Here is a 14,672-nt window from a genome sequence, read left to right on the forward strand (position 1 = left end):
TTGAAAGCATACATCCAAAGACCTGTAGTTGAATGTTCACAGCAGCTCTATTTGTAATAGCCCAAAACTGGAAACAACCCAAATGTCTATCTGCAGGTGAATGAATAAACAAATTGTAGTATATCCATAAAATGAAATCTCACTTATTAATAAAAGGAATAAACTGTTGATACATGCAACAATATGAATGAATCTCAAAATAATTATGCTGAAAGAAGCCAGACAAAAAAAGAATATATGGTGTATGAGTCCATTTATATAAAATTCTAATGAATACAAACTGTTCTATAGTGACAAAAGGCAGATCAGTGGTTGCCTGAAGATGAGGGGAGTAAAAAGAGTGAAAGGGAAGAATCACAAAGGAGCATAAGGAAACTTTAAGGGGTGATGGAGATGTTTATTATCTTGACTGGGGTGATAATTTTATGGGTATATATGCATGTCTAACATCAAATTATACACTTGAAATATGCACAGTTTATTGTATGCAATTATACCTCAATAAAGCTGTCTTTAAAAACTGTATAGATGATTCTGGTAAGGAGGTAAGATTGAGAGCCATTGGACTTTGGGATAAAAACTGAACTCCTAGTATGCAATGCCTTTTACAATATTTCTACCCTATTTCCTTCAACTCCACCTGACCCATTCTGTGCTATGGGCACACAGAGCTGCTTACATGCTCTGATTATGCCTTTTCCTTCATGTCTCTGAGTCTTTAGACATGGTGTTTTCTCTGGCTAGAGGTTGTCTCTCCCTTGTCCACTTGTTTTTTGTTTTTTGTTTTTTTGAGACAGAGTCTCACTCTGTCTCCCAGGCTGGAGTGCAGTGGCGCGATTTCAGCCCACTGCAACCTCCACCCTCCAACTTCAAGCGATTCTCCTTCCTCAGCCTCCCAAGTAGCTGGGATTACAGGCGCCTGCCACTGCACCTGGCTAATTTTTTGTATTTTTAGTGGAGACAGGGTTTCACCATCTTGGCCAAGCTGGTCTTAAACCCCTGACCTCATGATCCACCCACCTTAGTCTCCCAAAGTGCTAGGATTACAGGCGTGAGCCACTGTGCCCAGCCTCCCTTGTCCACTTGTTGAACTTCTTCCCATCCTACAAGAGCCAACTAAAATGTCTCGACCTCTGAGATGGCCTCCTAACTTCCTTCTGAAAGTTCCTGTGTCTTATGTTGTTCCTGTTATGGTTTGCATAAACACTATTTTCAAACTTACAACACACTGATTCTATGTTCTTTTTATATCTCAAACTCTACCACTGGCCAGAGCAGCACTGTTCAGCTTTTAAAAACTCTATGCTCTCTTTTGATAAACATAAATGTCTTAACCTTTAGTCTCACTGTTGGTTCTGAGAATCTCCGCATCCTCTATATAATATTGCCAGTCCGAAATTTTTGTTCAAGCTTTACTTTCTGTCATTTGTGTTATAAAATAACATATTTTTGTTTTCCAAATAAAAGATAATATTTTATCATTGAATATGCTTTTTTCAAGTTATATGTGTTTCTCCCTCCCTTCTGCTGCCTAGATTTTGGCATACATCCCTCTCTCTCCCAATTGAGAAACACCTCACTAAAGAAGGGGAATGTATCTTTTCCTTCTTTGAATCCCAATGTTGGACACACAGTAAACTCTCAATGAAGGTTTATAAAATCTAATTGAATTGCAACTATATTTTGAGGGGACAGGCTCAATAGGAAAATAACAGTAAATTCACAAGAAGGTTCAAAACTAAGCAACAAAATACTTTTAGATAAATCACTGGGATAAACAAGCATCCTCTCAAGAATTTGAAAGACCTAGCAGGAACTGTGAAAATGCTGGAACTGTTTTCCAAAACACGTAACCTATCGTATAAATGACTACTTTATGGTAGGATGTATTGCTATGGCCTCCAAACATAAGACATACTTTCAGCAGAGACTCAGGGAACAACAGATGTTGGAATCTCACTTTCATTCCCACAGTAAAAGGTAGGATGTTAGAGTACTTGGGGTAATTATATTAAGTTGAGAAGAGCCAAAATAAAATTTCAGAGAAATAAGGCATTGCTTGTCCTGGTTTATTCTGATTCCACTTGAGGCTGAGAAGCAACACAGTGCTTCTATGGTTGAGCAAGGCTGTTCAACCCTCTTTGGTGGGGAGGGGTGCCCACACCTCCCTTCTGAGGATAAATCACCATCGATCTCTAGGTGCGTATATCCTTGGGGCAGAGAAGAGGGCTTGATGTTGATTAAGCGCCTTGTGAGGAATAAATAGCAGATGCTTTCCATTCTTGAGTGCAAAGAGAGGAGGCAGTTTCACCAAAGTTTTTCAAATCACTTTCTCAGATGGGCTGAAAATACTGTTTAAAAAAACCCTTAAACCTCACTCAGCCTCAATTTCTAATTCACTGTGTGAGCAAAGGATTTTAAAGCTTAATCTAGTTTTGTGATACATAAGATCTAAATTATACTTTCATTTCTTTTTCCAAAAAGATTCCAAAAACTAGTTCTTAGAGTCAAGATGCCATCCTCATCTTTGACATATTTCTTAATAATTTATCAAATAGTTAGGGTTCTTGGTATGCAAGGGTGAATAAACACATAATTCCTGTTCTCAGGTTTTTCCTAGTCTTTCCCCTGCCTACCTATAACCCCCTCACGGCTGTTTTGTAAACTCCCAGCAATCTAGGGATGTTGTCTTTTATTTTTATTTCTAGCTCTGTGCCCTGCACTCACATTTTCAGCTATGCACAGCTGTTTATTTCCATCTTGCAGAAGTCACAAATGTATGGTGCCAAAAAGTGATTGGCAGTCGATGATCCTTCGAGTCCTGGGTACAGTACCTGGACCAGAGGAGGCTTGGTTCAACACATTTTAGTTTGATGAATGCATATTGCATGTATCACTGTACCCTGAGAGAAACTCCCAGCCACCAAAAGAAGCTAGTGGAAAGGGTTCTCGTGCAGGTCTTTGAGGGCTGTGACTGCCAGAATACAATCTGGAAGAAAGAGATAGAAGGATTATTCTACTCCTTACCAGAAGGATACCCTGTTAATGAACCAAGCTGAACATTATTATCCTCAATTATAGAGAAGTAGGTATTTTTCCTGTTACATGTTTTTCCTTCTAAGCACGTAACTCCCAAGGACATACTTGGTCTAATCAGAAGTAGGAGCTGAAGTGTAAGAAATGAAAGGCAAAGTCAGGAGGAGAATCACAGTGTTTTAATCAGCCCACACGGTCTGATTCAAGACACCTGCTGCTTTGTTTAACAACAGCAGTCTTCTCAGGAAAACACATCTTTCTTTGTTTCCTAGCAGTGATGGATAATATATGCACAGCTTGGAGAACAACATTTATTATGGTAACTAACTTCAGGCAGAATGGAAGCAGTAAAGAAAATAAATAGGTAGTTAGATTCCAGTGTAATGAAGCCCTTTTAGACTCTTTAAAACAAAATCCAAAATAAAACAAAACAAAAACCAAACAACATGTGGGACCTGAAAACCGGGCCAAGTAGTCATTTTGCATTCCTCCCTCACCAAATAAAACCACTTCAGAAATGGATGGAATCTCAGCACAGTTAGAATTGAGCCAACAATAGAAAATTGAAGAACCAGGTCTGTTACAGAATTGGTTTGAGAAAGGGTATTGCTCTTTGAGCCATTCAGCTTAATTAGTGCTATTTCCCCCCACTCTGTATTATTACTTCAAATCTGCACCACTGGTGGGCACCATAAGATCTTGCTGTTTATTTCCTATAGTATTTCCATACTCAATCCCAGTCCAAATGCCAGGACTTGGGTTGGCTCTAAAATGCCATGTAGGTATTTGCTGAGCACGGGCATTCCATGACTGGTATATATTTGCCATCACACTTGCCTGTCCATATAGCATATGTCACATGTGCCAAATATGTGTACCAGAAATGTTGAATGGGACACATATTTGTGGGGTGACTTGGGAAGAGAAAGAGAAGGAAGGGATAGAGTGCCTACTCTCCTGTTCTTTATTTCATTCATTTTTGAGAAGTACTCCAGTAGCAGTTTGTCATTTCATTCATTCATTCAGCATCATTTATTGAGTGCTTACCCTAGGCACTGTACAGTCACTATGCTAGATTCTAGGAAAACAGACATAAATAAGACATATTTTCTGTCCTCAAGAAGTACAGCCTACTTGGGAGGCAGAGAGTCATGTTAACAACAGAAACGAAACAATCTGTGGGATATGTGCAACCAACAGAAGCAGGTATAAGATACAAGAGAAGAAAAGAGAAGGGAGCAATCACTTTGCTTGGGGGAACTAGGGAAGCTTCTTGGAGGCAGCAGCGTGTCCCCGAAATGAATTATTACAGCCATAGTTCCAGTAAGTGAAGTTGTCACTTGCTTAGATCTTGTTAAGGAGCCCAGGACCCAGGAACTCTCCCTCACCCAGCCACAGCTCTCTGGGCCAAAGGTGGGCACCTAATCTGAAGCAGTCAGTCCACAGGCAACCTATGTGTGTGTGTATATAAAAGGAGAACTTAGAGCAATGACATTCCCTCAGGACTGGGAAATGCAGAGAGAATTGGGTAGCCCAGAAAGCCTTTCCTTCCCCTCTTTTCAGTGTTCATCCTTCAAACTGTTTCATCCTTCAAACTGCAGCTAAGTATCACTTTCTTATTAAGAAGTCTGGCTTGCATATACAAAAGAATGAAACTGGACCTGTATCTCGCACCATATTAAAAAATCAACTCAAGATGGATTAAAGACTTAAACGTAAGACTTGAAACTATAAAAATACTAGAATAAAACCCAGGGAAAACTCTTCTGGACATTTGAATAGGCAAAGAATTCATGACTAAGACTTCAAAAGCACAAGCAACAAAACCAAAAATAGACAAATGGGATTTAATTAAACTAAAAAGCTTCTACACAGCAAAAGAAATAATCAACAGAGTGAGCATACAACCTACAGAATGGGAGAAAAGATTTGCTAACTATGTATCCAACAAGGTACTAATATCAGAATCTAGAAGGAACTCAACAACAACAGCAAAACAACTCAACTAAAAACTGGGCAAAGTGGGCAAAGGCCAAGAATAGACATTTTTCAAGAGAAGACATCCAAATGGCCAAGCAGCATATGAAAAAATGCTCAACATCACTAATCATTAGAGAAATGCAAATTAAAACCACAATGAGATATTGTCTTATACCAGTCAGAATTTTAAAATTCTATTATATTATTAAAAAGACAAAAAATAATGAATGTTGGCAAAGGTGGGCCAAAGTTGGCCACCTAATCTGAAGCAGTCAGTCCACAGGCAACATGTGTGTGTGTGTGTGTGTGTGTGTGTGTGTGTGTGTTTGTGTGTTTGTGTGTGTGTGTAATATATAAAAGGACAACCTGGAGCCATCACATTCCCTCAGGAATGGAAAATGGAGAGAGAAATGGGCAGTTAGTCCAAAAAAGCCCTTCCTTCTCCTTTCCAGTGTTAATTCATCCTTCAAACTGCAGCTAAGTGTCACTTCCTTATTAAAAGAAGGAGCAAAGGAAATGCTTATACACTCCTAGTGGGAATGTAAATTAGTACAACCTCTATGGAAAACAGTATGGGGGTTTCTCAAAGAGCTAAAGATAGAACTGCCATGTGATCCAGAAATCCCACTCCTGGGTATCTACTCAAAGAAAAAGAAATAATTACATCAAAAAGATACCTGGCCAGGCACAGTGGCTCATGCATGTAAACTCAGTGCTTTGGGAGGCTAGGCAGGAAAATCACGTGAGGCCAGGAGTTCAGGACCAGCCTGGACAATATGGCAAGACTCTGTCTCTACAAAAAAAAAAAATTAAAAAGGAAATTAGCCAGGTGTCATGGTACACACTGTAGTCCTAGCTACTTGGGAGGCTAAGGTGGGAAGATTAGTGAACCCAGGAGTTCAAGGCTGCAGTGAGACATGTTCGCACCACTGCACCACAGTCTGGGAAACAGAGGAAGACTCTGTCTCTAAAAAAAAAATTTTAATAAATAAATAATCTTTTAAAACATAGCTGTAGTCATATGTTTATTGCAGCTCTATTCGCAACAGCAAAGAAATGGAATCAAACTAAGTGTTCATCAGCAGATGACTGGATAAAAAAAGTATAAGTATATATACACAATGGAATACTATTCAGCCATAAAAAAGAATGAAATAATGTCTTTTGCAGCTATATAGATAGAACTGGAGGCCATTATCTTAAGTGAAATGACTCAGAAAGAGACAAATACCACATGTTCTCACTTAGAAGTCTGAGCTAAATAATGTGTACACCTTGGCATAAAGTGTGGAATGACAGACATTGGTGGCTTGGAAGGGTGGGCAGGTTTGGGTGCTGGATGATGGGAAATTACTTAATGGGTACAATGACCATTATTTAAGTGATGGAGACACTAAAATTCCAGACTTCACTACTATGCAATATATCTATGAAACAAAATTGCACTTGTACCCCTTAAATTTATACAAATCAAAAGAAAAAAGTTTAGCCTGATTTCCCTGACTTAGCCAAATCCCAGTACCAAATCTCCAGCACCGTTTCACATTTGCAGTGTTGCTTTTGTTTGTGTAACCTTTATTCATTGGATTAGCACCTAATTCCTTTTTACATCATTAACTCCATGAGGGCAATGAGCATGTCTCTTCTCTCATCATTGTATATCTAGCATCTGGCACTGTACTTGAGACATATGGTCAATAAATATTTGTCGTGTGAATGAACAAAAGTGTATCAATGAGGGCAAGCAGGAAAAAGTCAAGGAAGGGTGGGGTACTCTGAGCAGCCAGTATCATCAAGAAGGTCCCAGGAAAGGACCTCTGAAGCAGTTAGAAGGGCATTCAAAGGAAGAGAGAAGGGGTCCCAAAGACAAATTTTGGCCCAAGACTAAAATAATGTTGCCTTAGGTCAGCTGGCATATGAAATTCCTTTTGAAAATAATGAAACATGCCTGCACTTAATAGCAGAATTTGGGCATAAGAGAATGTGGGTCCAAAAAAGCTCTTATTCTTTCTATAATGTTAATAATAGAGATTACAAATAAGAGTCACCAACATGTGAAAGACAACTCTTCAAAGATGATTTTAAAATTCTGAACTTTTGAAAAAATATCTCTAGCTGGAGTGTGTGTGTGTGTGTGTGTGTGTGTGTGTGAATATGAAACTTCTAGAGGGAAATTCTGACAAAGATCTTGCTGTAATAAAGAAAGACAGTGAAGAAACAAGTCAAAATTTAGGCCCAATTACTCAATACAAATTTAGCAATCTGAGATGTTTTAAGATGATTATATTCTTATAAATTTAAAATCACAACCCATGTATACAACTGTATTGTAGTACTTGAATTCAAATCTAAGTATTGAAACTATATGAGGAACCAATGTTATGTTTGGGACACAGGCTTTAAAATTGGCAAACCTGGGTATAAATCCTAATGCTTTAAGTTGGTTTCATCTCTGAAAACTTCAGTTTCTTAATATGGACCATGAAAATAATCATGCTACCTCATAAAGTTGTAAAGATTAAATGAAACAATATATACAGAGCTTGGCTACGCTTACGCTATGAGAGTTCAATAAATGACAATTACTGTTAAACAAATGAAACTATCTCCTTCAAACATTAAAAAATATTTCTTAAAAGTCTTTCTCCATTGGTTTTGCTCTTTAATTACACTGAGTTGGTTTTTTCCCTCAACCACAAGAAGAATATTTAAACATATTCTTCCTAGTCAAAGCTAGTGAAAATATGTTCCATAGGCAGAGAGGAGAGAAAATGTCTTTTTTGTTCCCAGGTTCTTTTCACACCAGAGGAGTTACTCCTCCTTCCTCCCTTCTCCCCCTCTGCTTCTTTTGTACACACCTAGGCTGGCTACTTAGCATGAATTCACATTCACTGCTTTTCCCTTTCTCTGGTGTGGAGAGCTGAACTCATTCATTATTGAAGAAGGGTAGTGTCATTTTTTTTTAGTCACTACTTTGAAAGGATACTACATTGGCATTTATAAATTAAGAACGTGTAAATATTATATTATATACATTTACTTTTCTGCTTTAATATTTATAAAGTTTTCATGTAACACTCCAGCAGATAATTTTTTCCCTAGAGGGCCATATTTTAGGAAAGGTTTAGGAAATATGATAAACCCTCTCTGTTCTTCTCTTTATTATATTCTATATTTTATTGTTGTTGGTTAGCTGAAAATCAGGCATCTTATAAATGCATGCAGTCTTCAACTTAACTGAAGCAAAACAACCACTACAATTTTCTTAGATTCACTTTCTGTCTCCAAATTGGAGGCTTACAAGTTTTAAATTAGGTCATCTGGAGAAACCTGATTTAACATCTAGTTTTTATATGATTGTGCAGCAAGACAAAGATATTTTTTAAAAGACTTTATTAAGACGGTATGATCACAATAACAACTGATACATTTTTACTATGAAAAAGAGAGTACACATTTGGTAGCATAGCTTCATGTATTGCAAACAAGATTAACCACACTGACATGGCTCAGCTAAACTTTTAAAAAAGAGTTATGTGTTTTCCACAGATAAATTCCTCATTCAAAATATTTATGATTCTCTTTGGTTTTTTCTTCTTTTTTTCTGAGACAGGGTCTCTCTCTGTTGCCTAGGCTGGAGTGCAGTGGCGCAATCACAGCTCACTGCAACCTCTGCCTCCCAGACTCAAGCAATCCTTTTACCTTAGCCTCAACACATCTGGCTAATTTTTAAATTCTTTTGTAGAGACGAGGTCTCACTATATTGCCCAGGCTGGTCTCAAACTCCTGGGCTCAAGCAATCCTCCTGGCTCAGCCTCCCAAAGTGCTGGGATTACAGGTGTAAGCCACCACACTCGGCCTCATTTTGTTTTTTTATGTGATATTCAACTAAGCAGAAAGTGAAACATTTGAATTTTTTTTAAAAAGTCCCATTATGGAATGTCTTTAGGAGAATGGCTCTATGCAGTTTGGAAGAGAGCATCTAAGTAACCATTTTAGTCCAAAGCTACAGGAGTCCTGGAAAAATTTTAAGGTCTAGAATTTGTTCACAATACTGCCAGTGCCATATGTGTGTTGAGCACAGCCTCTCACTAAATTCTGATCTATATCCTTACCTCCATGAAAATGGTGACCTTTAAGTGTCAGCCTCTCACTTTGTTTTCAATATGGTGAGAAGCAAGTATGTGACTTGGCCACTTACACGGCCACATCTGAGACACTAAATTGTGTTTCATCAAGTAATACAGACATACGTAAAGCATGATCCGCAGAAACAGACTGCAAAAAATCCAAATTGCATGCATTGATGTAACAACTTACAAAATGAAAAAGAATGATTCATACTCTCAAGAGATATAAAATTGAACAAATGTGAGCACACAGAAAAAAAATCACAAAATTATTGTTATATGAAAAACAAACACAGGGAATTTTATGTTTTGTTATTTGATGTATTCCAAGTGCCTCAAATATATCTGGCACACAATAGTCAGTCAATAAATATATGTCAAATGAACGAATGACTGAGACAATATGAATGAGGAAAGGGTACTATTTCTAGAAGGTTCTTACATTCGTTGATCATGACAATTCTAACCCTCTCCTATGAGTAAATCTGCCTTGACATTTAAAAAAATTATATAAACTAGGATACCCTTGGATCCTAAGAAAATAAACACAGAATAGCTAAATTTTAAATGGAGAAAGAAATTATGGTATTTGTGATTTTAAAGAATAAGGTATTAGGAATTGGAGGGAAGAATCTAGAAGGACAGAGTGCTGGAGATGGGCCCCTGTGGGGAAGTGTGCCTTCAGGATAGAAGAGACAGGCATCCAAGACAAATGTTTCTTCTTTGTAATTTTGCCAGGGTCAACCAGATTCCTACACCATAAGCAAAGTGCGCTTAAGCAAGTAGAGTGGAAAAATAGACGGAGAAGTTTCTCTACTTATACCTGCTGGTAAAACTACTGGACAAAAAGATGAAATATGCAGTCTTGGGGAGGGTTTGTCTTATCTTAGACCAAAGTAATTTTGACTTAAAAAAATTTAAGGGCCTCATTAATTAAGGGCATTGAAACTATGAAGAATCAAATGTGACTGATTTTCGTTGGCTGTTCCAGAACACATTACATTAAAAAGATATATTTAAAACATATATCATGGAGCAGCATTGTCTAAAATTATAGGTAAGTTTGGGCACTGACCATAATCCACTTTCTGTCAATTAAAATTATAGTAAATATAAATAATTACTAAACTATGGAACCAAAATACTACATTAATTTGATTGATAAAATTGAGTCCAGACCAGGCACAGTAGCTCATGTCTCTAATCCCAGCACTTTGGGAGGCTGAGGCAGGCAGATCACCTGAGGTCAGGAGTTCAAGACCAGCCTGGCTAACATGGTAAGACCCCATCTCTACTAAAAATACAAAAAGGAGCTGGGTGTGGTGGCGCACATCTGTAATCCCAGCTACTTGGGAGACTGAGGCAGGAGAATGGCTTGAACTGGGAGGCGGAGGTTGCAGTGAGCTGAGATCATGTGCCACTGCACTCTAGCCTAGGCAACAGAACAAGACTCTGTCTCAAAAAATAAAATAAAATAAATAAAATAAAATAAAAAATGAGTCCAATACCATATTATCTCTTTTTATTTTAATCTTGTAAAGAACTCATGATATCTAGCATATCTGTAGCTGTATGTTGCAACATTTTGTAGCTAGAATGACTACACAGCCCTTCAAGACACACGTACAAACAAGTAGTATAATTTTCCAGACCATGATGTTCCAGTACAGTCAAGTACCATAAAAAAACAAAATGAGCAATATGTCATTGGTGGGTATGACTCGCAGGGCATTAGCTAATGCAATTTTCCAATAGGGAGTCTACTCAACAGATATAACGCTAAACAGAATTTTTCTTAGTAAAATTTACAACTTCATATTTTTATACTTGAGAGAAACATATGGTTCAGTACTTACAGACTTAGCAGTAGTGGGAGGCCTGTGAAAACTGTTTGCAGCTACAACTTGGAGCACATCTTTAGGACTTCTCTCAGAACTCTTTTAAGGACTTATTCTTTTTCTAATGCTAAATACATACTTAGTTCTATTTTACTTACTTGTATCATTCATTATAATCAACATGAATATTATCTAAAGGACATTTTTATTTTTACCAAGAGAAACAAACTGCCAAAGTTCCTTGTGCTACTGATTTAAAAAAAGAAATAAATCAAAGAAAAAATATTGCCTTAATTTTTTTGCACCAATTCTGCAAATGGTTTTCAAAAGCTATGATTAGGTGCACATAAATTCTATCTGCCTTGGTTGACCTCACATTTTCAAATCCCTTTTCTTTCTTTACCTATCCACTGATATCACCTTCTGCTCCTGGCATTGTCAGACTTCAGTATCACACATATCTATCTATAGAGTATGCCTATAATTCTGAGCATTCAGACCCTAAACACTAAACATAGATCCTCACTATGCTGCCCAGGTTGGTCCTGAATTCCTGGGCTCAAGCAATCCTCCCACCTCAGCCTCCTGAGTAGCTGGAACTACAGGTAAACACCACTGTGCCTGGCTTAACATTGTCATTCTCACAACTATTTTTATTTCTATAAAAAATTCACATAATTATTGTTATATGAAAAGATGGTTAAAGAATATGCAGACAAAAATATAGAAAAATATAACAGAGATGTGCCAGATAAGTCAATAAAAACATTATATCATTTTTCTGGATTTTGTAATTTTTAGTGGTATTTGTCAGTTTTTGAAAACTTAAATTTGTCACAATTTTTTTTCTCTTATTCATTTTCATACCAATTTTGGTCTGCAATTAAGTATTTTTTTTCTTAGCAAGGGCCCCCAAATTAATAATCTTCAGGCCACACAAAACCTGGGTCTGCCTTTGCCCAGTGCCTGGCTCAGAACCTGGCAAATTAGGTATTTGTTGAAAGGAACACTCTGTTTCTATCAACCCAAGGGTAGTGACTTCATACTCAGCTTAGTGAAAGTAGAGTCAGCCTATGCTGAGAGTTCTTTAGCATATCCAGCCTCCAGACTGGACCAGTTTCGGCAGAGTGGTAGTACTACACCTGCCAGCAGAGATCCTAAACTCAGCTAGTGGGAAGCCGAGATAGCAAAGGCAGAGAAAATGAGGCCGAAGACTGTCACGTTGTTTTACAGTCAAGAAACAATATTTTTCCTTATGCTTTCATTTTTGAAAGGTACTGAAATTAATGAAAAGAAACTCTTTCTGTCTCCAAAGAGTATGCAAATTAGTTTTCATGTGCTTGGAAATTTATTCTTTTGAGTTATGTTTCTCATTTGAAGAATATGGTTACTCACCCTTCCCTTTACACTGTATAATGCGAAACATATGTGAATAGGATTACATCAAGTCCCAAGATATCAGTATTTGGAAGTGACTGAAGTCTTCCACATAGAGTTCCAAGTTAAAATACTTTACTTGAATTAGCATGTGAATTGTGAATTGTGATATTGTTATTCTATTTATGTTTGTACTATTTCCACCCTAAAATAATGTTTAACCTCAAAATTTCTAGATTGCTTCATCAAGTGCTAGAAGTTTAGGAAACTCCCTTAACTAAAGATAAAGTCAAATCTAGATATGGGGCTGGGTTAACTGCTTCATAATGGAGCTGCTTCTGAAGCACCAGCACCTAGATCTAGAGCCACCCATCAGACCAGGTGGGATCACCCAGAGCCTGATGGGAGAGATGGGGTAGCCAGTCCTCACTCAAGGTGCTGGGCGAAATTATAGTGCATCATGATACCTAAGGAGTATAACAATCGATAAATTCACACAGTTGATGCTATGGATTCTGATACTCAGAGTGGGGTGCCCCAAATGGGAGAAAATATGAAACTAAGAAGAAACCAAACCAATAACAGAGTCAGTACCAGCCACAGGGAAGCAAGGCAGAAACTCCGTTAACTAAACTGAAGCACAAGCAGGTGCACAAGTGGATCTTGGAGGATGAGACAGAGACTTGTAATCAGAACTTGAGCAGGTAGTCAGAGTTGGCCTGGCAACATGGGTGACTTGATGCTGAATCCCATAGTATTGGGCTACAGCCCCTTAAACCTCTTCTGTTCAAGTCGTATAATAGACAGTAGGATAAGTTCAGCTCATGGTTAGGACCATGAAGCCTTTGATGAGGGAAGAAGGGAACTGCAGAAACTTGGAGCCAAGCGAGAACTAACTGATGATGAAATAAAGGAAAGTCCTATTTCTGTACAGGACTTTTGAAATAAAACATCAAAAGAGAACATGTAAATAAAACTTAATGACATAAGGAAAATAACTGGACTCTTCTATGCTACTTCTAAGAAAGAGAAGACCTCTTAGTAAGGGGAAATATTTTTAGTGGGAGAAAGAAATAATCAGATTTTTAAAACACACATTGTTTAGTTTTCCTTTACATATAATAAGGCAAGAAAGTAACTGTCAATAGAGAACATAATTAAGGACTCTTTTTTAAAAATTCAGGAAGAATTAAGTTAGGATAAAGAAAGCTGCTTTCTCTTTCTAATACTGATTTAGCAACTGTTTGACATGAATTCCTCACCTAGGAAGCTGCTCAGCACATTTTTTCTCTTGACTCACTGCCTGACTCACCAGGGAGATAGGCTGTTTCCAATTCTGGACGTCACTGGGGTCTATCATTTAGCCCCACATATAATTGCTCAATTCCTGGGTCTAGGGTGGGGAATACTTTAAAGGATTCAATATATTGTAAGTGGAATTTAGAATTTGCCTTGTTGGCATAGACTTGGTGTCTGACAAGCTCAGGATGACCACATATTAGTCCCTAACGCTGCCATGTTGGCTCAGTTTCTATCACTGCTCCAATCTCCGTTCCTTACTTAGTATTCCAATTCTTTATGGGATGGAGACTTATACCAAGACCTAGTCTTCCTAGCTGGGCATCTGATGCATTGTTAGCTCTGGATCTTGTCTCCTAAAAGACTGAATCCTGCTTTTTATACCCATAGCCTCCACCTAGCATTCTTCTTGGAAGGTAAATGATAACCCTAAAGCCATGGAAATGGTGCTTGCTTATCTTAGAGCACTGCTTACTGCTTGAATATTTGCCTAGAATAACACTGAGATTAGCACCATTACACCCTTGGACACTGAATGGAGCTGACTGAATAGTGATCCTGAAGGCCATCAGACCAGAGTCTCCAGTCTCTTTCTTCACCTAGGGTATCAGGGAGGATCTCCATAATGTGTTGCATGGAGGATAAAAGCAAAGATTTGGAACCTAACAGACGTAGGGTTGATCCTAGCTCTGTCACTTAATTTTAGATAAATTACTGAATGTTTCTAGACCTATTATCTCATCTGCAAAAATGAGGATAATGATTCCTATTCACATAATAACTATGAAATTAAATGAGATAAATAATATAAAGCATTTACTACGGTGCCTGCATGTAAACGCTGCTTAAATCATTGCTATTTAGTTATTAGCAAATGTAAGGGAAAAAAACTATATTAATTCATCCAACAAATGTTTAGTTGCCTATTTGCTGCCAATTATTGTATTGAGCTCTGGAGGTACAAAGGTGATGACATGAAAAAGAATCAGTAAATAGACATCTTCAAAACAGT

The 14,672-nt window shown here is 37.7% G+C and overlaps 1 protein-coding gene across 5 annotated transcripts in view, besides 1 other annotated feature; it reads right to left on the minus strand.

The window, feature by feature from the left end:
- WDPCP (WD repeat containing planar cell polarity effector) overlaps positions 1 to 14,672 on the minus strand; it is a 721,268-nt gene that overhangs the window by 657,877 nt on the left and 48,719 nt on the right. The gene's annotated exons all lie outside the window — the stretch shown is intronic.
- Positions 3,032 to 3,533: an enhancer, noted in NCBI's record as "NANOG hESC enhancer chr2:64007601-64008102 (GRCh37/hg19 assembly coordinates)". NCBI's record gives its function as "activates a minimal SCP1, AML or CMV promoter by ChIP-STARR-seq in naive H9 embryonic stem cells {active_cell/tissue: H9 hESC(naive)}" and the evidence as "EXISTENCE:reporter gene assay evidence [ECO:0000049][PMID:30033119]".

The sequence above is a fragment of the Homo sapiens genome, chromosome 2 (genome assembly GCF_000001405.40).
Source record: "Homo sapiens chromosome 2, GRCh38.p14 Primary Assembly".
NCBI classification, from domain to species: Eukaryota; Metazoa; Chordata; class Mammalia; order Primates; family Hominidae; genus Homo; species Homo sapiens.